At 38.5% G+C, this 23501-nt stretch overlaps 1 protein-coding gene across 8 annotated transcripts in view, besides 1 other annotated feature; it reads left to right on the top strand.

Annotated features, from left to right (window-relative positions):
• Nucleotides 1-23501, top strand: part of TAF2 (TATA-box binding protein associated factor 2) — a 102068-nt gene that overhangs the window by 48746 nt on the left and 29821 nt on the right. For 6 of the 8 annotated variants that reach the window (NM_003184.4, NM_001437338.1, XM_017013780.2 and 3 more), the window contains 5 exons: nt 463-715; nt 2903-3043; nt 5967-6077; nt 21488-21681; nt 23358-23497. In NM_003184.4, the coding sequence (NP_003175.2) occupies nt 463-715; nt 2903-3043; nt 5967-6077; nt 21488-21681; nt 23358-23497 (839 nt within the window). The remainder of the gene's footprint in view (nt 1-462; nt 716-2902; nt 3044-5966; nt 6078-21487; nt 21682-23357; nt 23498-23501) is intronic. The other 2 variants (NM_001437339.1, NM_001438084.1) reach the window with 1 other exon arrangement.
• Nucleotides 14808-14867: an enhancer, noted in NCBI's record as "active region_27841". NCBI's record gives its function as "activates an Ori minimal core promoter by ATAC-STARR-seq in GM12878 lymphoblastoid cells {active_cell/tissue: GM12878}" and the evidence as "EXISTENCE:reporter gene assay evidence [ECO:0000049][PMID:35858748]".

The following is a 23501-nucleotide window of genomic DNA, read 5'->3' as shown; positions in this document are numbered from 1 at the left end:
TGTGATATACCTCCAAATTATGATTTCAGAACTTGCTGTTTGAAAAAGGCGATCGTGAGTCTAGTATTTTTAAAAAGTCTTAAGTCAGCTAAACAAATTAAGAAATTCATCTCATTCTTTTTTTGCCTCATATAATCACAAATCAAAATCACCAAAATAATTTCAGATGGGAAATGAGAGATTCAGTGTCCTTTGTAAAAGACAATTAATATTTTCTTATTTTTGAGTATCTTTTTAGCAAGATTGATATAGATCAGACATTGTGAGAAAGTTGACATATGTTAAACATAATGAGAAATTTGTCAGTGCAGTTTAAAAAAATGAATACAGTAAAACTCCAGGCAGTCTTGAATACTACATCTAAAAGGAAACCTGGTAAATAAATGCTTTGTATTTATTTTCTAAATATATAGATGATAAGTTTAAAAATTAAATTAAAAAGAAAATTGTATTTTCTTGCAGTGCTGATTCCCCTTTGCTGTGGATAAGGATAGACCCAGATATGTCAGTATTGAGGAAGGTAGAATTTGAGCAAGCTGATTTTATGTGGCAGTATCAGCTCCGCTATGAGAGAGATGTTGTTGCACAGCAGGAATCCATTTTGGCTTTGGAAAAATTCCCTACTCCAGCATCTCGGCTTGCACTCACTGATATATTAGAACAAGAGCAGTGTTTCTACAGAGTAAGAATGTCAGCTTGCTTCTGTCTTGCAAAGGTGAGATTATATACAGCATAAAGGAAATGACTATTGTATATATTTTTTGTATCTCTGAAAATGAATTAAAATTCACCTAGTCTTTAAATTTACTTGGTAGCTGATTCTTTGAAAGCTTTTGCCAAAGTGCTTTTAAATTAATAGGACTGTTTTGAAAGAAACATGTTTTGATCTGAAAATAGATATGCAGAATAATTTTATAATTGTCAAAATGAAAAGTTAGATTTTAAAAATCAAAGAGAATTTTCACCATTTTGTTGAATTGCCAACCACATTTTTAAAGCGAAGAATATATTTGGTGAGCAATTCCTTGGTTTGAGTGATGTTTTACATTGTAGTACATGAAATCTCTGTGTGTGTGTGTGTGTGTGTCTGTGGGTGTGTGTATTTTGTTTTTTTAAATAAAGACAAGATCTCACAATGTTGCCCAGGCTGGTCTCGAACCCTTGAGCCTGAGTGATACTCCTGCCTCAGCCCCCAACACAGCTGGGATTACAGGCACGTGCCACCATGCTCCACTGTGCTTGATTGATTGATTAATCTTAATTATCCCACTGTAATAATTATTCACGTTGATTTGAGTTTATAAATTGGTATTAGTGATAAGTAACTTAGAATGGTAGACTATAATATTCTAGAAAAGTTAATTAAGAAAACCAAATATGTTTTTTAGATGCAAATTATCTGAAGGTAGAACAAATGAAAATCAGAAAAATGCAGACAAAACTTTGTCCAGAAATAATGTTTTCCAGGTATTTTTTAAAAACTTGATAATAGGTTCATTTTCCATTTAGTGACTCTTGCCTTCCTCACTGTTAAATCCATATGTCCTATATTTCAACAAGTTAATAATGGTTTTGATTTATTTTTAATGATAATAAGTGAGTAGTTGAATTCCTATGTTCTCAGATATATGAGAAAGCAGTGATTTTCCTTGATAAAACCATCTGCAGAAGATATAATTTCAATGTTTCTATAAAGATCTTTGTGATCCCTGTATGCTAAAATCTTAGCAGGTCTATAAAATTGTAGAATATGTTGTTTAATCATAATTTCATTTTTTGGGGCATGATTTTTATATACCCTAAAAATATCAATAGCAAGACATAGGGTAAAGCAAGATATGCTTTTGTAAAGCATGCTTACAGCCTTAAATAGTAGCACTGTATTTGGCTTCTGGTTCAGTTAGGGTAGATTGAAAAACCTTATTTAAAATTCATGATGATGTTTCTGTCTCATAAGGTTAAAATATTAGAATTATATCTGTCTAAACGAATAAAGACAGACTATTCAAAATATAAGTCTTTTGCATACATATTTTTCTAAAACTTAATACTGCCATTTAGAAATTAACTTGTAGAAAATAATTATAAATACATGTAAGAATTTTTTCGGCCGAGTGCAGTGGCTCACGCCTGTAATCCTAACACTTTGGGAGTCCGAGGCAGGCGGATCACTTGAGGTCAATAGTTCAAGACCAACCTGGCCTACATGGTGAAACCCCATCTCTACCAAAAATACAAAAATTAGCCAGGTGTGGTTGTCTGCACCTGTAGTTCCAGCTACTCAGGAGGCTGAGGCAGGAGAATCTCTGGAGCCCGGGAGGCAGAGGTTGCAGTGAGCCATGATCGCACCATAGCCTGAGCGATAGAACGAGACTCCATCTCCAAAAAAAAAAAAGAGGAAAAATAATTTTTTTTTTTGGAGAGAGTCTGTCACCCAGGGTGGAGTGCGATGGTGCCATCTTGGCTCACTGCAACCTCCCCCTCCCCGTCCTGAGTCAAGCAGTTCTCCCACATCAGCCTCCCAAGTAGCTGGGATTACAGGCACCCGCCATCATGCCCGGCTAATTTATTTTGTATTTTTGTATAGATGGGGTTTCACCATGTTGGCCAGGCTGGTCTTGAACTCCTGACCTCAGGTGATTCACCCGCCTCGGCTTCCCAAAGTGCTGGGATTACAGGTGTGAGCCACCATGCCTGGCTGGAAAAAGAACTTTTTTGCAGGGTGAGTTTGTATAATTTCTTGGAAATGGTGATAAAATGCTAAATTGTTATAAATTTCTGAGAAGTGAAGTTGTTGAAAACCCAATCCAGTTGTAGTATTGATAACTTTTAAGAAGCTGTTTTATTTTAAAGTATGTTTGCATTGGTAATGGAAATTACTTTGTTTTCTAATTATTTGCAGATTGCAAATTCAATGGTGAGCACATGGACAGGACCACCAGCCATGAAGTCACTCTTCACTAGGATGTTTTGTTGTAAAAGTTGTCCAAACATTGTGAAAACAAACAACTTTATGAGCTTTCAAAGCTATTTTCTACAGAAGGTACAGTTTACTTTCTAATTTTCTCATGGTTTTTATATATTTCAGTTTAAGTTGGAGACTGTTCAAATAATAGATGTGTTTACTTTCTTTGCCTCCATTCTTTTTTTTTTTTTTTTTTGAGACAGAGTCTCACTCTGTCGCCCAGGCTGGAATGCAGTGGCGCAAGCTCCGCTCACTGCAAGCTCCGCCTCCCGGGTTCACGCCATTCTCCTGCCTCAGCCTCCCGAGTAGCTGGGACTACAGGCGCTCACCACCATGCCTGGCTAATTTTTTGTATTTTTAGTAGAGATGGGGTTTCACCGTGTTAGCCAGGATGGTTTTCATCTCCTGACCCTGTGATCCGCCCACCTCGGCCTCCCAAAGTGCTGAGATTACAGGTGTGAGCCACCGCGCCCGGCCTCTTTTTTTACTTTTAAACATTTTTCCAAACTTTGATTAAGTGATTATTGATTTTGTGATCTGTGTGCAAGTAACTCATTGGCCACATTAATATTAAAGTGTCCAGAAATGTTTAATTTGCCTTTTTGGTTGGTTACCTGGGGGATGGAGAAGTGAGTAAGCCCTTCGATTGGCAGTCCTAGAATGTGGACAGCACATCTGAGTCAGAGACAGCACAGCATAGAGCTCTAGTTTTAGTCCCAGTCCACTACTCACTAGCAGTTTGCACATGCATAAGTTTCTTAACCTTCTGCACCTCAGTTTAAAATTTATCTTTTTTGGAATTAAGATCAAGTATGTAAAGTGTTTTATGCTATGCTTATATTAAGTTTTCTATAAGTGGAATTTTTAGAAAGTGGTGGTTAGAGTCATTGTTTTAGGAAAGGATATGGGAATGACAGGATGGTCAGCATTTGAGCTATTTGGATATCATACATAGAGGTTTTTTTTTAGTAATTTCATAATGAAGGCAGAGATCAGATTAACTAGATTGAACTAGAAAGGAGGAGTGAAGTTGAAGTAGAGAGAACTAATGAAGCCTATTCTTTCAAGATTTTAGTCAAAGATATAAGAACGGATACTATGTTGAGGATGAAGCAAGGTTGAGAAAAGGACTTCTTGGGTTTGTTTTGTACAGGGGAAGAACAAACTTGAGGCATGTATGACACAGGGAAAAGAGCCAGTGAAGAGGCAGAGATGGAATAGTCAGGTGGGAGAAAGTAAATAGAGACGGCTGAGCAAGTTCTGGAAGTGTTAGAGGGTGGGGCACATTAAGGAAGTAAATTTTAGAAAACAACATTCCTTTTTTTGAGGCAGGTGGAATGTAGATTAAAAACAAGTGAAAAGATAGATGTTGAGGGGAATGTTAGGCAAGTTGAAATTTATTTACGATGGAAAAGAAGTAGGTTGCACAGCAGCACTGGGGTGCCTTTTGAGAGTGGAAGCCAGAATGTATTTATAGTAAATCTAATCAGGACAGATTCAGGATGATCCAAGTTTTGGGAAAGGTAATAATGGTGTGATCAAAGAAGTCTGTGGCATCCTGTTATTTTGTTTTTAAGAACTGCTCTGTATTACCATTTCACGAATTTATGGTATAGAAGCAAGTTAATTTCTGTGTCCACCTGATATATCTGTCTCATGATGCCACTGTGCTTTCATGTAGCTTAGGTCAGTGTTTCAAATTGGAGTTATGAACCATTAGTGAAGGGATCATGAAATCAGTGTAGTTTTTATTTCTATTTTTATTTTTTTTTTAAATAAAACAGAATAGGTAGTATTCAATATAAGGCATTTGGGGTTCACTTTTAAATTTGTATACGTTGCATCTGAAGTGTGTGTGTGTGTGTGTGTGTGTGTGTGTGTCTTAGGTTGTGTTACAAAATGTATTTTTTCCTGTTAGCTACTGTCAAAAAAATTGGAAAGTCAGTGCTTTTATACCAATTCACCTTTCTGATAATACTTCTAGTGGACAGGAGAGAGAGAGAGATTGGTGCCTAAATGAAACTTGAGTCTCAAAGGGCAGAAAAGGCATAAGACAGGTATTTCTACGGAAAAGCGCCTTTCCCTCAGTTGTTCCTATAGTACTAAAACTGACTGTTGTTGCTCTTGTTATCTCTGCTTCTTCAAGCAAGAAAATGAGCCATTTTCCTTTCTGACCTCCATTTTAGAGGATATAGTTATTTTGAGTAAGAAGAGGGGCTAGTCCATATCTCGCCATGTGCTAAAGACTGAGATGTCTATGCATCTGTAGTCCTGCCTAGCATTTAATTAGCTTTGTTTTACTGATAGAGTTAACCAGTGTGTGTAAGTCATGTTTCTACATTCTTAAAAATGTTGCCTATGAAAATTTGGAAAGAGAAAAATTAGGCTGCATTTCAGATAATTTACCATTTTGTCCTTAGGTTGAGGATTGGGTGTTCATGAGGATTAGGTGTTGGGACAATCAATTTGTTCTAAGACTGAAGGTTGGCTCCACCTACTTATATCGTTTATTGCTGAAAATGATTGTGAGGAAATGAGGCTCCTACTCAATAGGCAACGAGCTAAAGGCACCTAGCACAGAAGGTAGTAGAGCTTAGGAGTTGAATAATGGTCCATCTAATGCTAAAATCTGTACCTTTTCCACTGTATCACACAGAAGTAATTCTAAAATCTGTGCCTTTTCCACTGTATCACATAGAAGTGAATTTATATAATTTACATCACATATATTTCCTCCAGCAAATGAAGGCCAAGGCACATAGCCTACAGAGTGATGTGCAGTCATGGAACTCTTCCCTTAGTTTCCTGCCCAGCTCTTCTCTTATGTTAGAATGCTTTGAGATATGTTGTCAGTGGGAGGGGTTGGGGTGTGGAGGTGTTAGGCTCCATCCAGATATCTATGTCAGCCCAAGAGTAACCCTTTTCTATTTATAGTTCAATGAATTGTAGTAACAAAAAGTTAGGTTCTGTGCTTTTAAAAGTTCTTTTTTTTCTTTTGTAGACTATGCCAGTTGCAATGGCTTTATTAAGAGATGTTCATAATCTTTGTCCTAAAGAAGTCTTAACATTTATTTTAGACTTAATCAAGTACAATGACAACAGGAAAAATAAGGTGAGGTACTTTTATTTTTAAATCTTCTACAACAGTTGTCTTAGATAATTTTCTTAATGAATATTACAGAACTACCCAATGGTATTTTGTTTCTAAATAAATATTTAGTCTATAAAAATCATCGTACTTGATGACTGTCCACAGTCCTTGACATTTCTAGAGATAGAGGCATGTAAACACGATTTATTAGAATAACCAGTGGATAAAAAACAATATTAGTTTTTAAATGTTCTTCAAACCTCTTGTAGTGTGGAGAGAGTAGTACATCAGATTTGGGGTAGCCAGTTAAAACTTGATAAAACCTGACAGCACAATTTTATTTACATTGATTTATTTTTTGTTCACCTAATGATACCTAGAAAAGAGTTCTCGATTGGGATTAACTTGTTCCTTGATTCATTTGACCTTTTTTCTTTTCTTTACCATTGTGTCTTTATTCATTTATTTAGCAAATAGCAATTGGATGTCCTGCTTCAAAAATTATTTTATCTTACTTGTTATCATTCCAACAATCAGCAAATGTTTTTAAGAGTATATGCTGTGCTAGAGAGTGTCCCCTGTTAGCTGGAATGAAAAGATGGTTGATGTCTTAATGAACTTTATTTATTCATTAAAAAAACTGCTCTATATTAGTCTGATTTTACACCATCAAGGACACAACCTGATAGGGAAATCAGACAAGTAAGCAATCAGCAGTCACATGTGATAATTGATACAATGGAAATATATATGATTCCCTAGGGGAATGCAAAGTGTAGTCATCTCTCAATATCCATGGGGGATTGGTTCCAGGACCCCCTTTTTGTATACCAAAATCTATAAATGTTGAAGTTCTTTATATAAATGTTATATAATATTTGCATATAACCTATTCACATTCTCTCATATACTTTTAAATCATCTCTAGATTACTTATACTACCTAATACAATGTAAATGCCATATATATCATTGTTAATACTATACTGTTTAGAAAGAATGACAAGGAAAAAAGTCCATACATGTTCAGTACAGACACAACCTTCCTTTTTCTTCCCCAAATAAATTTTGATCTGAGGTTGGTGGAATTCAAAGATGCAGAATCCATGGATATGGAACCCACATATATAGAGAGAGGGTCAGCTATAGTGTCTACTTTGAAGGATGTAGGGAGAGACTCAGGGAAGTTTTGTATAGAAGTAGTGACCCTCAAACTGAGTCATAAAGATGAGTAGGATTTTCCCAAAGTATGAGTAGGACCCATGTAGGAAGATTGTTCTAGACAGAAGGAACAGCACATACAAAGACACAAGTAAGTGTTAGGATAAATCAAATTGATGAAACTTTTTTTTGAGACAGAGTCTCACTCAGTCGCCCAGGCTGGAGTGCAGTGGCGCGATCTCGGCTCACTGCAAGCTCCATCTCCCTGGTTTACGCCATTCTCCTACCTCAGCCTCCCGAATAGCTGGGACTACAGGTACCCGCCACTACGCCCGGCTAATTTTTTTTTTTTTGTATTTTTAGTAGAGACGGGGTTTCACTGTGGTAGCCAGGATGGTTTCGATCTCCTGACCTTGTGATCCGCCCGTCTCGGCCTTTCAAAGTGCTGGGAGTACAGGCATGAGCCACCGTGCCCGGCCAAATTGATGAAACTTTTAATAAAACGTTACAACAGTAAAAAAAAAAAAAAAAAGCACAGGCATGTTTATTAAAAGATGACTTTTTAATGAAAATCAAGAAAACAACATTGCCTCTTTAGTTTAACATTCAAATAATTTAAGCGTAAAGACTCCTTTAAAAATTAACATTGTAAAAGAATACATTAATTCATTTTTTCTTGACGTTGTTTAATACTGTTGACTTCATCTCTGATAGGCTCTATGATCATTGGTCTCTCCCAGAATAAGGCATATTAGGGACATAGGAGTCCAAGGTTATCTTTTAGTTGCCTTTGTTATGATAGTCCAACATTTTTTAATGAGTAGTAAGCTCGTCTATGCATACCAATTTTAGGAAGCATGTGCTTTTTATTCTTTCATTATTGTTTTGCTCAAATGGCTCAGATTTTCATGTAATTTAATACTAAATTAGAATAATAAAACTAATAACTGGTAACTAAAACTAGTAACACTAAATTAACATAAGTCATCTAGTGTTTTATTTCACTCAATAGATAGGTGGCTAAGTAGTTCCCAGGGAAATTTTATCTGATGGATGGTATAACTGGCTATTTATTTTTCCCATTATTTCCCTTAAAAGTTGTTAATTTCAGGACCACGTTAAAGTTTTTTCAGCAATCAACGTTTATTTTTTATTTATTTATTTATTATTCTTTTTTGAGACGGAATCTCGCTCTGTCACCCAGACTGGAGTACGCTGGCGTGATCTCGGTGCACTGCAACCTCCACCTCCCAGGTTCAAGCGATTCTCCTGCCTCAGCCTCCCAAGTATCTGGGACTATAGGCACATACCCCCACGCCCAGCTAATTGTTGTACTTTTAGTAGAGACGAGGTTTCACCATGTTGGCCAGGCTGGTCTCGAACTCCTGACCTCAAGTGATTCGCCTGCCTCGGCCTCTCAAAGTGCTAGGATTACAGGCGTGAGCCACCATGCCCAGCTGTAGTCAACCTTTAAATTGTGTTGGCCTGCTTGTTGGAAGCCCTCAAATGTACCCAAAACACATAATTACTATTATTTTTTGAATTACTCTCTGATGCTTGATTTGGGGATTTGATTTTCAATTTTTTTTTTTTTTTTTTTGAGATGGAATCTTGCTTTGTTGCCAGGCTGGAGTGCAGTGGCACAATTCCAGCTCACTGCAACCTCTGCCTCCCGGGTTTAAGCGATTCTCCTGCCTCGGCCTCCTGAGTAGCTGAGATTACAGGCACGAGCTGCCACACCTGGCTAATTTTTGTATTTTTTTAGTAGAGACAGGGTTTCACCATGTTGGGCAGGATGGTCTCGTTCTCTTGACCTTGTGATCCGCCCTCCTTGGCCTCCCAAAGTGCTGATATTACAGGTGTGAGCCACCACGCCTGGCCTCCAATTTTTTTTAATATTTAATAAAGTCCTTTTTTTTTGTCATGTTAGGCTTTGTTAGAGGTTTTTTGTTTGTTTGTTTTTACCATGTATGTTGCATTAAAATAGCTCTGAGGATCCTACTAAAATTGAAATTTTTTAATGAGCTATTTATTCATATGATGCTGGAGTTTCTTTCTAATAACACCAGGTTCAAATCTCATGGAACACTATAACTACAAGAAGCCAAATGTGTAATTTAGTTCAGCTATTTGCTTTGTAACAAGACTAAGAGCATATAAGGGGAAGTTATTATCTCTGCTGCTTTTAAAGAAATCCAAGATTGGGATTTTAGGACCAGTTTTACTAATCAGGTCAGTATGTGGTTTTGTAAATAAATTTTCTCCGTGTAAATCAGGGATGTCCAATCTTTTGGCTTCCCTGGTCCACATTGGAAGAGGGCTTATGTTGGGCCACACGTAAAATACGCTAACACTAACGATAGCTGATGAGCTAAAAAAAAAAAAAAATTGCAAAAAAAAATCACAATATTTTAAGGAAGTTTATGAATTTGTTTATGAACATTCATAGCTGTTCTGGGCTGTGTTGAATAAGCTTGGTGTAGATAGTCTTTGTGTGTAAATAGCCTATATGTCATAGTAAATATATAAAATACTGGAAAATAGTAGACACCTTTTAGTTATCTTTCTCTAAGTCAGACACTTAAAGTTCATTTATTTAATAGACATTAATACTAGGTTTTGATGATACTGTGATGAGTAACTTATGATCTTTCCAGGTGCTTAATCTGTAGTGAAAGAAACATACAAAAGATCAATTTTTTTTTTTTTGAGATGGAGTCTCGCTCTGTCCCCCAGGCTAGGGTGCAGTGGCGCCATCTTGGCTCACTGCAAGCTCCGCCTGCCAGGTTCACGCCATTCTTCTGCCTCAGCCTCCCGAGTAGCTGGGATTACAGGCACCCGCCACCACACCCGGCTAATTTTTTGTATTTTTAGTAGAGACAGGGTTTCACCATGTTAGCCAGGATGGTCTCGATCTCCTGACCTCGTGATCCACCCGCCTTGGCCTCCCAAAGTGCTGGGATTAGAGGCGTGAGCCATCGCGCCTGGCCAAGAACAATATTTTTAATAAGACAATTATTATGACATTAGGTTAATTAACCTGCTAAGGAAGTGCTTGGAAGGATTAACCCAAATTAAGGATGGGGAAGCCAGAAAAGGCTTCCTGGGAAAGGTTGAATCTAGAGAGAGCTGTAAGTTGTTGAGGTGAAAGAACAGGAGAGGAGGAATATGTGGTCAATTATAGAATCTATATATAGAGAGGGAGCTTATTGAATTTGAGAGGTTTCAAGATCATTATTTTAGAAGTTATTTTTATAACTTTTGGCATATTTCTTGAAAATGGATCCATCTTCCTCATATTTTTACTTACCTCATAAGATGTGAGTATCTTAACTCCTACTATAAATCCAGTTTCTATTATTGTATAAATTATGTAAGTACAAAGAGGATATAGATATAAATTTAACCCTCTGTAAGTCTAAGAAATCTGAGAGAGGATGGTGGGGAGTAAGAATGGGGAGAAAGGGTTGGGAAAATAATTGTAGCCTTGAAGAAATGAGGGATTGATTTAGAATTTAGAAAGTTATGGAAAGTATATCAACTTTTAACTTGGAACTTATCAGCAAACTGAGCTCTTAAGACTTCTTTGTATTTTTTTTTACATAAATAGAAATGGTAGTGTATTATAAGAATAGCTTTAGCACAATGCTATTTGGAAAAGAATAATCTACTTATTAGGTAATTGTGCTGTTTAATTTTGTAGCTAAATTTTGCTATTATTTCTTCTCCTATCTTTTTAAAAAAGGAAAATTTTAAAGAAAGGTAACCATAGGTTTTTTTTTTTTTTGAGAAAATCCAAGCTTGCTTTTTCAATAATGATGATGTTGATTCTGATGTTCACTTATTGAGTGCTTAGTACATTCTTGGTACCATAAGTGCTTTTCCTGCATTTTCTTATTTTAAGTAATATTATTATTGTTATTATTATTATTATTATTATTTGAGATGGAGTCTGTCTCTTGTTAACCAGACTGGAGTGCAGTGGCATGATCTCGGCTCACTGCAACCTCCACCTCCTGGGTTCAAGTGATTCTCCTGCCTCAGCCTCCTGAGTAATTGGGATTATAGGTGTCTGCCACCACGCCCAGCTAATTTTTGTATTTTTAGTAGAGACGGGGTTTCACCATGTTGGCCAGGCTGGTCTCGAACTCCTGACCTCAGGTGATCTGCCCACCTTGGCCTCCCAAAGTGCTGGGATTACAAGCGTGAGCCACCACACCCGGCCTTATTTTAATTAATATTATTATTTTATATTGTGTATCTTTTAAAAATTTATTTTAGATTCAAGGGGTGGGTAGGTCTGCGGGTTTTTACATTGATATGTTACCTAACAGTTGGGTTTGGACTTCTAGTGTACCCATTACCCGAGTAGTAACCGTTGTACCCAATAGGTAATTTTTCAACCCTCGCTTCCCTCCTAGCCTCCGCTCTTTTGGAATTCCCAGTTTCTATTATTTCCTTCTTTATGTCCATGTGTTCCCATTGTTTAGTTCCCACTTACAAGTGAGAGGATATGGTATTTGTCTGTTTCTAAGTTATTTCACTTAGGATAATGGCTTCCAACTGCAGTCATGTTGCTGCACAAGACTATTTTGTTCTTTTTTGTGACTACATTTTCTTTGTTCAATCCAAAGTAGGTTGTTAATTTGAGATCTCTCTTTTTGATGTAGGCATGCAATGCAATAAACTTTACTCTTAGCATTGCTTTTGCTGTATCCAAGAGGTTTTGGTATGTTGTATCTCTATTTTCATTCTTTTTTTTATTTGTCTTGATTTTATTGCTTAGCCAAAAGTCATTCAGGATCAAGTTGTTCAGTTTCCATTTGCTCATGTAGTTTTGAGAGTTCCTCTTGATATTGATTTGTAATTTTATTCCACTGTGGTCTGAGAAGATACTTGATATTTTTGATTTTTTTTAATTTATTGAGATTTTGCATTTTAGCCAAGCATGTGGTCAGTTTGGGGGAATGTTCCATGTTCAGATGAGAAAAACGTATATTCTGCAGTTGTGGGTAGAATGATCTGTAAATGTCTGTTAGGTCCATTTGGTCTAGATTCTAGTTTAAGTCCAGAGTTTCTTTGTTGACTTTCTGCCTCAATGACCTATCTAGTGTTTTCAGTGGGGTGTTGAAGTCCACCACTATTATTGCATTGCTGTCAATCTCTTCTTAGGTGTAGGTGTTGTTTTATGAATCTGGGTGCTCCAGTGTTGGGTGTGTATAAAATTAATTCTTGGTTTTGTTTTAAACTTCGTCAGTATATAATGCCTTTCATTTTGCTTCTTTCTTTCTTTACTATTGTCAGTTTAAAGTCTATTTTATCTGATGTAAGAATGGCTACTCGTGGCCGGGCACAGTGGCTTATTCCTGTAATCCCAGCACTTTCGGAGGTCGAGGAGGGCAGATTGCTTGAAGTCAGGAGTACAAGATCAGCCTGGCCAACATGGTGAAACCTCGTCTCTACTGAAAATACAAAAATTAGCCAGGTGTGGTCGCACATGCTTGTAATCCCAGCTACTCAGGAGGCTGAGGCAGGAGAGTCACTTGAACCTAGGACGGGGAGGTTGCAGTGAGCCGAGGTTGCACCACAGCACTCCATCCTGGGCAACAGAGCGAGAACCTGTCTCAAAAAAGTAAAAAAGAATGGCTACTCCTGCTTGCTTTTATTTTTCATTTGCGTAGTATATCTTTTTCCATCCCTTTACTTTGAGTCTGTAGGTGTCTTTTGTCATTGAGGGGGTCTCTTCTAGGCAATAGATGGTAGTGTCTTGTTTTTTATCCAACATGCCATTCTATATCTTTTTTTTTAAGAGACGGAGTCTCGCTCTGTCGCCCAGGCTGGAGTGCAGTGGCGTGATCTCAGCTCACTGCAACCTCCACCTCCCAGGTTCAAGCAGTTCTTCTGCCTCAGCCTCCTGTGTAGCTGGGACTACAGGTGCATGCCACCAGGCCCAGCTAATTTTTTGTATTTTAGTAGAGACAGGTTTTCACCATGTTGCCCAGGCTAGTCTCGAACTCCTGAGTTCAGGCAGTCCGCCCTCAGTCTCCCAAAGTGGTAGGATTACAGGCGTGAGCCACTGCACCTGGCCACTCTATATATTTTAAGTGGAGCATTTATGCCATTTCTGTTCAAGGTTAATATTGAAATGTGAGGTTTTCTTCCTGTCATAGTGTTGTGGGTAGTTGCCTTGGGGCCTTAATTGTGTAATTATAGGATCTGTGAGCTTTCTGCTTGCATGTGCTTTTATGTTGGTGAGTGTCATCCTTTCATTTCTATATTTAGAACTCCTTTGAGCATTTATTATAGGTCTGTTCTAGTGGTGATGAATTCCCCTTGATTTGCTTGTCTGGGAAATACTTTATTTTTCCTTCATTTATGAAGCTTGGTTTGGCAGGATATAAAATTCTTGGCTGGCAATTTTTGTCTTTAAAGAGATGAAAAATAGACCCCCAATCTCTTCCTGCTTGTAAGGTTTCTGCTGAGAAGTCTGATGGGATTTCCTTTATAGGTGATTTGACACTTCTTTCTAGCTGCTTTTAAGATTTGTTCTTTTATGTTGGCCTTGGGTGGTCTGGCCACTATATGCTTTTGTGAGGTTTGTCTTGTATCATTATCTCCCAGTTGTTACCTGGATTTCTTGTCTGGATATCTATCACTGTAATGAGATTGGGGAAATTTTCCTGAATTATTTCCTCAAATATGCTTTCTAAACTTCCTACTTTTTTTTTTCTGCCCCAGGAATGCCTATAAGTTACAGGTTTGGTCACTTTATGTATTCCATATTTCTTGAAGACTTTGTTCATTTAAAAAAAAAAAAATTGGGGGCTGCGTGCAGTGGCTTACACCGGTAATCCCAGCACTTTGGGAGGCTGAGATGGGCGGATCATGAGGTCAGGAGATGGAGACCATCCTGTCTAACATGGTGATACCCCGTCTCTACTAAAAATACAAAAAATTAGCCGGGCATGGTGGCACGTGCCTGTAGTCCCAGCTACTTGGGGGGCTGAGACAGGATAATCGCTTGAACCCGGGAGGCGGAGGTTGCAGTGAGCCGAGATCGCGCCACTTCACTCCAGCCTGGGGACAAGAGCGAGACTCTGTCTAAAAAAAAAAAAAACAGTTCTGACTGGGTTAATTCGAAAGACCAGTCTTCAAGCTCTGAAATTCTTTCTTCTGCTTGGTCTAGTGTGTTGTTAAAGCTTGCACCTGTGTTTTGAAGTGCTTTAAGTGAATTTTTCATTTCTGGAAGTTCTGTTTGTTGCTCTTCTAAAAATACATCTATCTGGTCTTTCATCTCCTGAATTGTTTTTCTGGTTTCTTTGTATTGCTTTTCAACTTTCTCTTGTGTCTCTTTGGGCTTCCTTTCAATCCATATTTTGAATTCTTCATCCATCATTTCAAAGTTTTCATTTAGGATGAAATGAAATCATTAGGATCCACTGATAAGAGAGCTTGTGTGTCACAGTATTCTCTTTCTTCGTGTTGCTGGAGTTGTGCTCATTCCTTCTCATCTGTAGCTGTTGTCACTTCTGATTTTTGAATTTACTTTCGTTTGGATGGGACTCTTCCTCTCCTCCCACCTTGAGGGTGCAACTATACAGTATATTGGGTAGGGTATTTTTTTGGCTGTACTTCTATAGCCCTGTGTATTTCTGTTATTAGGGTTTGTGTTGGGTAATGCAGTTCAGCCTACAGGCCAGTAGGTGGTGCTTCCAGGTAAGAGCCAGCTGTGGTAAAAGCAGATGGGTATGTACTTGATCTTTGTTTACTGTGTGGTACTCTTTTTTGTTTCAGCCCTGACGGGGGTGGCTGGTGGAGCTCCTAGTGAAATGCACTGAAGTCTCTGCAGGGGGGCTGCACTAGCTCCAAGTCTTAGACAGGCAGAAATGTGATCTCTTTCCCTGTCACACTCCTGTACTGGGGCTCATAACTCTCCATGCAGATGCACACTGTCGTCTGTCTCCAGGCCATAGTGTGATTGAGAACCGCAGAAGACACCTCTCCCCTGGCTCTCCACTGGAGTGGTTTCACGCTGGAACTCCTCACTCAGCCCAATACAGACAGCTCTGTGGCTTTCCTGTTCTCCAATGTGGTAATGCTGCTGATTGAAGCAGAGAGGGAGAGGGGCTCCATCTTTTGGCACATGCAGGTGGGTGTCAGCTGTGGTGCTGTCAGCTGGCTGGGTCAGCCTAAGCTCAGACCCGATGGACCTAATAGACATTTACAGATTATTCTACCCAACAACTGCAGAATATGTATTTCTCATCTGCACGTGGAACATTCCCCCAAATTGACCATATGCTTGGCCAGAAAGCAAGTCTCAATACATTCAAAAAAATTGAAATCATATCAAGTATCTTCTCAGACCACAGTGGAATAAAATTAGAAATCAATACCAAGAGGAAAAAATAAGGAGTTTTTCAATAGGTAGAGGAAGGAGAATGGTGCCCTGGGGTTAAGAACACATTAACAAAAGTACAAGAGGCATGAAAATGCAGTGTGTAAAGGAAGAGAAAAGTTAATGATGCACCTTCATGGTAAAGGGGTACAAAGCCGGAGGTAGTGGACTGGACGAGGCAAACCTCCAAGCCCAGAGCCTGTAAATGGCCTGCTCGATGGTGTATGGGAAGCCTCAGGCAGTAACAGCTGAGTTGGTGGCAGAATACGCAGGTGGTGGGAACCCCAGGGTTGATCACAGACCTGTCAGCATGGGCTCTCAGAAGGGCTCCAGCTGGCAGCTGAAACGGTTGGGTGGGAGCAGGGTGGCCGTGCTGCTGTTCTTTCGCTGAGGAAGGCGGACTCCCTCAGCTGGAGCAAGGGAGGCTGGCAGCTGTGGGATGCGTGGCCCGATTGCACTTCCCTTTTATAGGAGTGGAGGTGTATTTCGCTGTTGGGGACATGCAAACGTGCTCAGCCTCCCCCTCTCTCCCTGGCCTCGAGGTGGCAGTGTGGCATCTGTGGTGGCCTGTGGTGACAAAAACTGCTGTGGCAGGAGCCAAAGGGCAGGTCCCTGGCTTCTTGGGGCTGGGCTCTCACTACACTGGGCCACAGCCAAAATACACATGCAGTGGCAGGGCGGCTGCACTGTGGACCCAGCGCTGAAGAAGCAGGGACCTGTTCAGCAAACAGTAGCTGAAGCAGACTTTCTTCACATTCTGCTGTCTGCCTGCTGCTCTGTACTGTGGCTGCCGTATCTGTCTTTGGGTTGTGTGAAAATGCCGGGTCTGCCTGCTCCTTCCCTGGTGGGGCAGTAGCAGCTGGCACCTGACTGCTCAGGGGCCAAAGCCTGTGGGATTCCACGTAGACTCCAGCAGCGTCTCTACAGTCTTCGGGCAGCTCACTGTATTAGACTGGAAGCCTGAGGGGCCAAGAGGTGTCGGCTCCCTGCTGCTAGGATTGTAAAAGTTCTTAGTAGGAGTGTGGAACCCCAGGGATCTCTCACTCACTTATCCTTTCCCCACATCCGGGAGCTTCTTCCAGCTCCACACTTGCCCTGGTTCAGCGGGCTGCTGGGCTTTGCTCTCCTCTGCTTTCCATGATTCCCGTCGCTTCTCTGATGAATTACAGCATGCCCTCTTAAGATGATAATAGTTGAATTGTTCATATTTACTTGTTACTTTGATTCCTGTCTGTGAGAGAGGCACCCACTAGCTACTTCTAATCAACCATCTTGAACCGGAACCTCAGTGTTAATATATTAATCTATATTTTTATTTCATTTTAGATACTCTTCCTCCACAAAGTTATATCAATCACATTATAAGAATTGATGAGATTGGAAGGTAGTCCTGTTTATCCCCCTATAGTAAGTGGCTGTCAGTTCTGTGTCATATGAATTAAATTTGTGGAGGCTTACAGAATCAGAAGATATATGCAGGTGTGTGCACATATGTGTATGTGTGTAAATCAGAAAGCATGTGTAACACTTTTTTAAATGATTTTGAGAGCGCTTCTTTACCCTATTTATATACTTTTCCAGAAGAGGTTACTATATACCTACATATATCATGTATCTTCCATCAGCAACTTTTTTTTGTTATTTTTTTGAGAGAGAGTCTTGCTCTCCTGCCCAGGCTGGAGTACAGCGGTGTGATCTCGGCCCACAGCAACCTCTGCCTCCTGGGTTCAAGCAATTCTCCTGCCTCAACTTCCCGAGTAGCTGGGATTACAGGCATCCACCACCATGCTCAGCTAATTTTTGTACCACACTCAGCTAATTTTTGTACCACACTCAGCTAATTTTTGTATGTTTAGTGGAGACAGGGTTTCACTGTTTTGGCCAGGCTTGTCTCAAACTCCTGACCTCAAGTAATCCACCCACCTCAGCCTCCCAAAGTGCTGGGATTACAGGTGTGAGCCACCATAAGTCGTCACTGGTAAGCAGAACTTCCATAGACTATCCAGCCTTATTCATGCTGTAGCTTTATGATGTAAAATATTCATACTCTTTCATGTATAACAGGTTTTCTCAATCATGGCACCTCTAATATTTCGGGTTGGATAATTCTTTGTTGTGGGGCTGTCCTGTACACAGCAGCATGTTTAGCAGTATCCCTGGCTTCTACCCATTAAATGCTTGTAGCACCCCTTACCTCAGTTATGATATCCAGAAATCTCTCTAGACATTGCCAGAAAGTCTGACGGGCAGAATTGTGTTGAGAACCACTGATGTGTGGGGATAATATTAAGAAATATAGAAATAGTTTATTACAATAGATTCCTAAATCGCTAAGTAGGTTAGCTGAGATAAAGTTGTAAAAATGAATCTATTTGTGAAGTTAAATTGAATGTAATATCATAGTTGTAGTGTATATCACCAAGCATAAGACTTGATTCTTCCTTTCAGCAGCTGTGATACCTACATCGTCTTTTCTATTTCAGCATCCTAGTTCAGGCCTTTATTCTTCCCTGGACTCCTGAAAAACGTGTGTCATCTTGAGCAAATTACTTAATCTCAGTGTCTTAGTTTCTTCATCTATTAAGAAAAAGCGTGTTAGTAATAGTACCTCTATCTCATAGGGTTTTTGTGGAGATTACACAAGATAATATATGTAAGGCACTTAGAGGAATCCCGACAGTTATGTTACCTATCATTAGCAGTTGCAACATTATCATCATTCCTAGCTCAATATCCCAATACCTTTCCTCTTAAAATATTTTTATAATTAAACCAGAGTAATCTTTGTGATGGAGCTCACCTGAATTTCTTTCCTCCTTAAAAAAATTCCCTTCTTAAAAACCTTCAAAGACTGTCCAGTGCTTATAAGTAAGTTTATGCATGGCATTCAAAAACATTTTGAATGTTGGTGGTCCCAGTCCACCCCTCCAGCTTTGTACCCCTTTACCGTGAAGTTGCATCAGTAACTTTTCCTTTAACATACTCATTTTCATGCCTCTTGTACTTTTGTTAATGTTGTCTCCTTAACCCAAGGGTGCCTTTCTCCTTCCTCTACCTATTGAAAAACTCCTTATTTTTCTAAGATCAGCGTATCCTCCTGATAGGATGCATTGTTTCATTTTGTTTTGTTTTCTTGACTCCTGGAACAATTTGATTACTTTTCCTGTCTTCTTACTCTTTTTTCTGTTTTGCTTGCAAATAAAATAGTTCTTGTCTTGAAGAAGTCATCTTATCTCTGTGTCTCCAGAACACTTGACAAGTACTAGATGCCTATATTTATATATTCATTTAATTGTGTCTCTGTGTCACAGTCACTTTCTCAATCATTATCTGGCTACTATTTAGGAAGTATTTAATTTATCTCCTTTAATCACAAAGCCCGCAGAACTTATTACATTGTATAATAGCAAAAACACAACAGTGGAGATAAATTAGATTTAAATTTCCTCTCAACCAGATATTTTATTTCCTTTGAGAACTGTTATACCTGACCTACTGTCTTCTGGATTTAAAATACGTATTTTTTTAATAAAAAATTAAAGACATTTTGGTAAGATTCTTTCCTTCCTAGTCTGCTGGTTTATTTTGGCCTTAATTTTTAGTGTTCCTTTTTTCCCCTACACTTGAATTTTCTTTACTTGAAGAAATTAGAATTTAGGATGGTGGCAAATCACATTATATTCAAATGGAAGAGGAAGATGTTTTATACATTATGTCTTTTTTTTGTGGAGTATTTATATAATTTAATTCCTTTATACTTCTTTCTACTTTGTATAGTGATTTTACTCATCTTAAATTCTTTGAAATGTGCCTATTCCTGTGGTTGAAGGTGTTTGTCAACCCTTGTTTGACAAAAGTAAGACACAGAAATTGAGAGTCTAAAATTACACAGGAAATGTATTCTGGGAATTGTGCTGTAAGGCCCTGCTACCCATTTGTGTGGTAATGTTTTTAGTATTACCATGTTACTTTACAGCATGCCATTATGCTTGTCATCATTTATGATTTTGTGTGGCACACACTGGTATATTATTAAATTTTATACTTCATTATTGTTGTGGAACCACATAAGACTCACTGTGTTTTCATTTTGAAAAGAAGGCTAATCAGTTTTTATAGTTAGGTGTTGTAAATTCAGTAGTTTTATATGACTTAGTACTTCAGAATACTAAGGATAGCGTAAATGCAAATAATAACTACAATAGGTAACACTAATAATAAGTTCTTGTGTGTTCCATGCCTTATGCCAAAACATAGATGATCTAATATCCCCACCAGACCGCTGAAATAAATACTATATTTATGTATTTTTATTTTATTTTATTTTATTTTTTTTGAGATGGAGTCTGGCTCTCTCACCCAGGCTGGAGTGCAGTGGCACAATCTCGGCTCACTGCAACCTCCACCTCCCAGATTCAAGCAGTTCTGCTTCAGCCGCCCAAGTAACTGGGATTATAGGCGTGTGCCACCACACCCTGCTAATTTTTGTATTTTTAGTAGAGACAGGGTTTCACCATGTTGGTCAGGGTGGTCTCAAACTCCTGACCTCATGATCTGCCAGCCTTGGCTTCCCAAAGTGCTGAGATTACAGGTGTGAGCCACCACGCCCAGCCTATTATTATTATTTTTTGAAACAGTCTTGCTCTGTCACCCAGGCTGGAGTACGGTGGTGCAATCGTGGCTCACTTGAGATGGAGTCTTGCTCTGTCACCCAGGCTAAATAGAGTACAGTGGTGCAGTCTCGGCTCACTTGAGACGGAGTCCTGCTCTGTCATCCAGGCTGGAGTACAGTGGTGCAATTTCGGCTCACTGCAACCTCCGTCTCCTGGGTTCAAGTGAGTCTCATGCCTCAGCCTTCCGAGTAGCTGGGACTACAGGCGCCTGCCACCACACCTGGCTAATTTTTGTATTTTTAGTAGAGATGGGGTTTCACCATGTTGGCCAGGCTGGTCTCGAACTCCTGACCTTAAGTGTTCTGCCGGCCTTGGCCTCCCAAAGTGCTGGGATTACAGGCGTGAGCCACCACTCCCAGCCTTAAATACTATTATTGTCCCAGTTTTCATGTGAGAAGATTGAGGCTTATAAAAGTTAAGAGATTTACCCAAAGTCACATGATTGTTTTCTGTGGCTCCAGTAAACTGAAGCTATAGAAATTAAAATTTCAATCATTATAGTGGTCTGAAAGCAAAACTTTATAGTGAATACTTTTGGGGTATTTTTTCTTTGGTGTTGTTTGTTTGTATGTGCCTTGCTTTTTTTCCTGCCCCGTATTTGAACATAAAAATGTTTAGGGACTCTGCATTATGTGTGTCAGTGTGAGCTTCTGCCTCCACAATAGAAGTCAATAGCGGGCAGATAGTCTTCTTCCAGTCTCTTGGCAGTTTGTGTTATCACAAAATATTCTCAGCATGCTGATAGAATTCATTTGCTTGCTCCATGTTGAATTTCCCTGGCCACAGCATCTGATTTGCTGAGTATAAATCAAGCCATATCCAGGTCACCTTTCAATAAATTGCTTCTATGAGAATTGACTGCCATGTAGATTAGGATTTGTTTTTTTTTTTAGTGGCTTCCTTCTCTTTTCTGTTTCTCTGGCTAGAACTCCTACATTAACCCTCCAGTTTCTTTATGCTTTCCTCCTATTTTCTATCATTAGTTTTCCATCAGTAAACTAATGTATTGTTATAGTGAATCTCTTACTGTTTTCAGAGTGACCACATGCAAAGGGTGGAGTTGAATGTTTACCAGAGGACTTGCTTGTGTTTTGGGAAAATTTTTATTTTATCTAAAATGTAATTATACAAATTTTATTTTGTTAATTTTGATCAGAAGAGTTAATTTTGTTATCTTCACTTAATTTTTCTTTGGCCTAGTTTTCAGATAACTATTATCGTGCAGAAATGATTGATGCCCTGGCCAACTCTGTTACACCTGCAGTCAGTGTGAATAATGAAGTTAGAACTTTGGATAACTTAAATCCTGATGTGCGACTCATTCTTGAAGAAATCACCAGATTTTTGAATATGGAAAAACTTCTTCCGAGTTACAGGCATACCATCACTGTCAGGTATGATTAAATTCCTTACTTTAAAGTTATATGTTCTTATAACTGTAAAAGAAATTTATTTTTGTTATAGAAAATTGGGAAATATAGTAAAGTAAAATGAGAAAACTAAAATTCTGTATGATTCTACCACCCACAGATAAATTATTAGTATTTGGAGAATGTCCTTCTAAATTTTTTCTCTCTTTAACTACATAAATTTTTAATTACTTGAGATTATACTGTATATGTAGTTTTGTATTCTGTTTATATCATACTTTCTCATGTCATCACAAATTCTTCATAAGCATTGCTTTGATGTCTGCATATTCTTTTATTTCGTTGGATTTTATATAAACATTCTCTATTGTTAGCCTTTTTTTAAGATGACTTTTCACTTTTACCAGCTTTATATGGCTATCATGCAGTTCTGCCAATTTAAGAGTTTGCTAAAAGTTGATTCAAACATAAACAATTTTAACTTTCTATATAGTGAACAAACTATATTACTAAAACATTTGGAGAAAATATTTATATTTTATGCTAAATACTTCTTTTTCTTAAAACTATTCCTGTAACAAGTATAATGACACTTGAAACTTTGAGTTTTGGGATTTGTTTTCTTTTTTTTTTTTTTTGAGACCAAGTTTCGCTCTTGTTCCCCAGGCTGGAGTGCAGTGGCGCAATCTTGGCTCACCACAACCTCCACCTCCTGGGTTCCAGTGATTCTCCTGCCTCAGCCTCCTGAATAGCTGGGATTACAGGCATGCACCACCATGCCTGGCTATTTTTGTATTTTCAGTAGAGACGGGGTTTCACCATGTTAGTCAGGTAGGTCTCGAACTCCTGAACTCAGGTGATCCACCTGCCTTGGCCTCCCAAAGTGCTGGGTTTATAGTTGTGAGCCACCACACCCAGCTGGAATTTGTTTTCTTTTAACAGACTTTAGATATTAATTTTGAATTTTTATCATTGCAAAAATTTATTATACTTATATGTCACTTAACAACAGGGATATGTTCTGAGAAATTAGTCTTTAGGCAATTTTGTTGTTTATGCAAATGTCACAGCATATATTTACACAAACTAGATGGTGTAGCCTGCTGTATACCTAGGCTTTATGGTATAGCCTGTTGCTCTGTTGCTCTTAGGCTATAAAGCTGTAAAGCATGTTACTATACTGAATACTGTGGGTAATTGATAACACAATGGTAAGTACTTATATATTTAAACATATCCAAACATATGAAAGGTATGGTAAAAATACGGTATAAAAGATAATAAATGTTACCCCTGTATAGGACACTTACCATAAGATAAATGGAGCTTGCAGGCCTGGAAGCTGCTGTGGGTTTATCAGTGAGTGAGTAGTGAGTGAATGTGAAGGTATAGGACATTATTATTGTACACTACAGTAGACATAATAAACACTGTGGACTTAGACTACACTAAACATATTAAAAATATTTTTTCTTTAGTGATAAATTAATTTTAGCTTACTGGACCACCATTGTATATGCAGTTCATCATTGACTAAGATGTCTTTTATATGGCTTGTGACTCTATTACAAAATTGAAGGTGGATTAAAATCACATCAGTTTTTAAATTGATTGCCACAAAGGATTCTCTAATGCCTAGGAAACAAACTGATTCATAATACCTCAGTGAAAGTAGTTAACATACGTATTTTTTTCCCTAGTTGTTTGAGAGCCATACGGGTACTTCAGAAGAACGGACATGTGCCAAGTGATCCAGCTCTTTTTAAATCTTATGCTGAATATGGCCACTTTGTGGACATTAGGATAGCAGCTTTGGAAGCAGTTGTTGATTATACTAAAGGTAA

The sequence above is a fragment of the Homo sapiens genome, chromosome 8, assembly GCF_000001405.40.
Source record: "Homo sapiens chromosome 8, GRCh38.p14 Primary Assembly".
NCBI lineage: Eukaryota > Metazoa > Chordata > Mammalia > Primates > Hominidae > Homo > Homo sapiens.
This window is presented reverse-complemented; position numbering and strand designations above follow the sequence as displayed.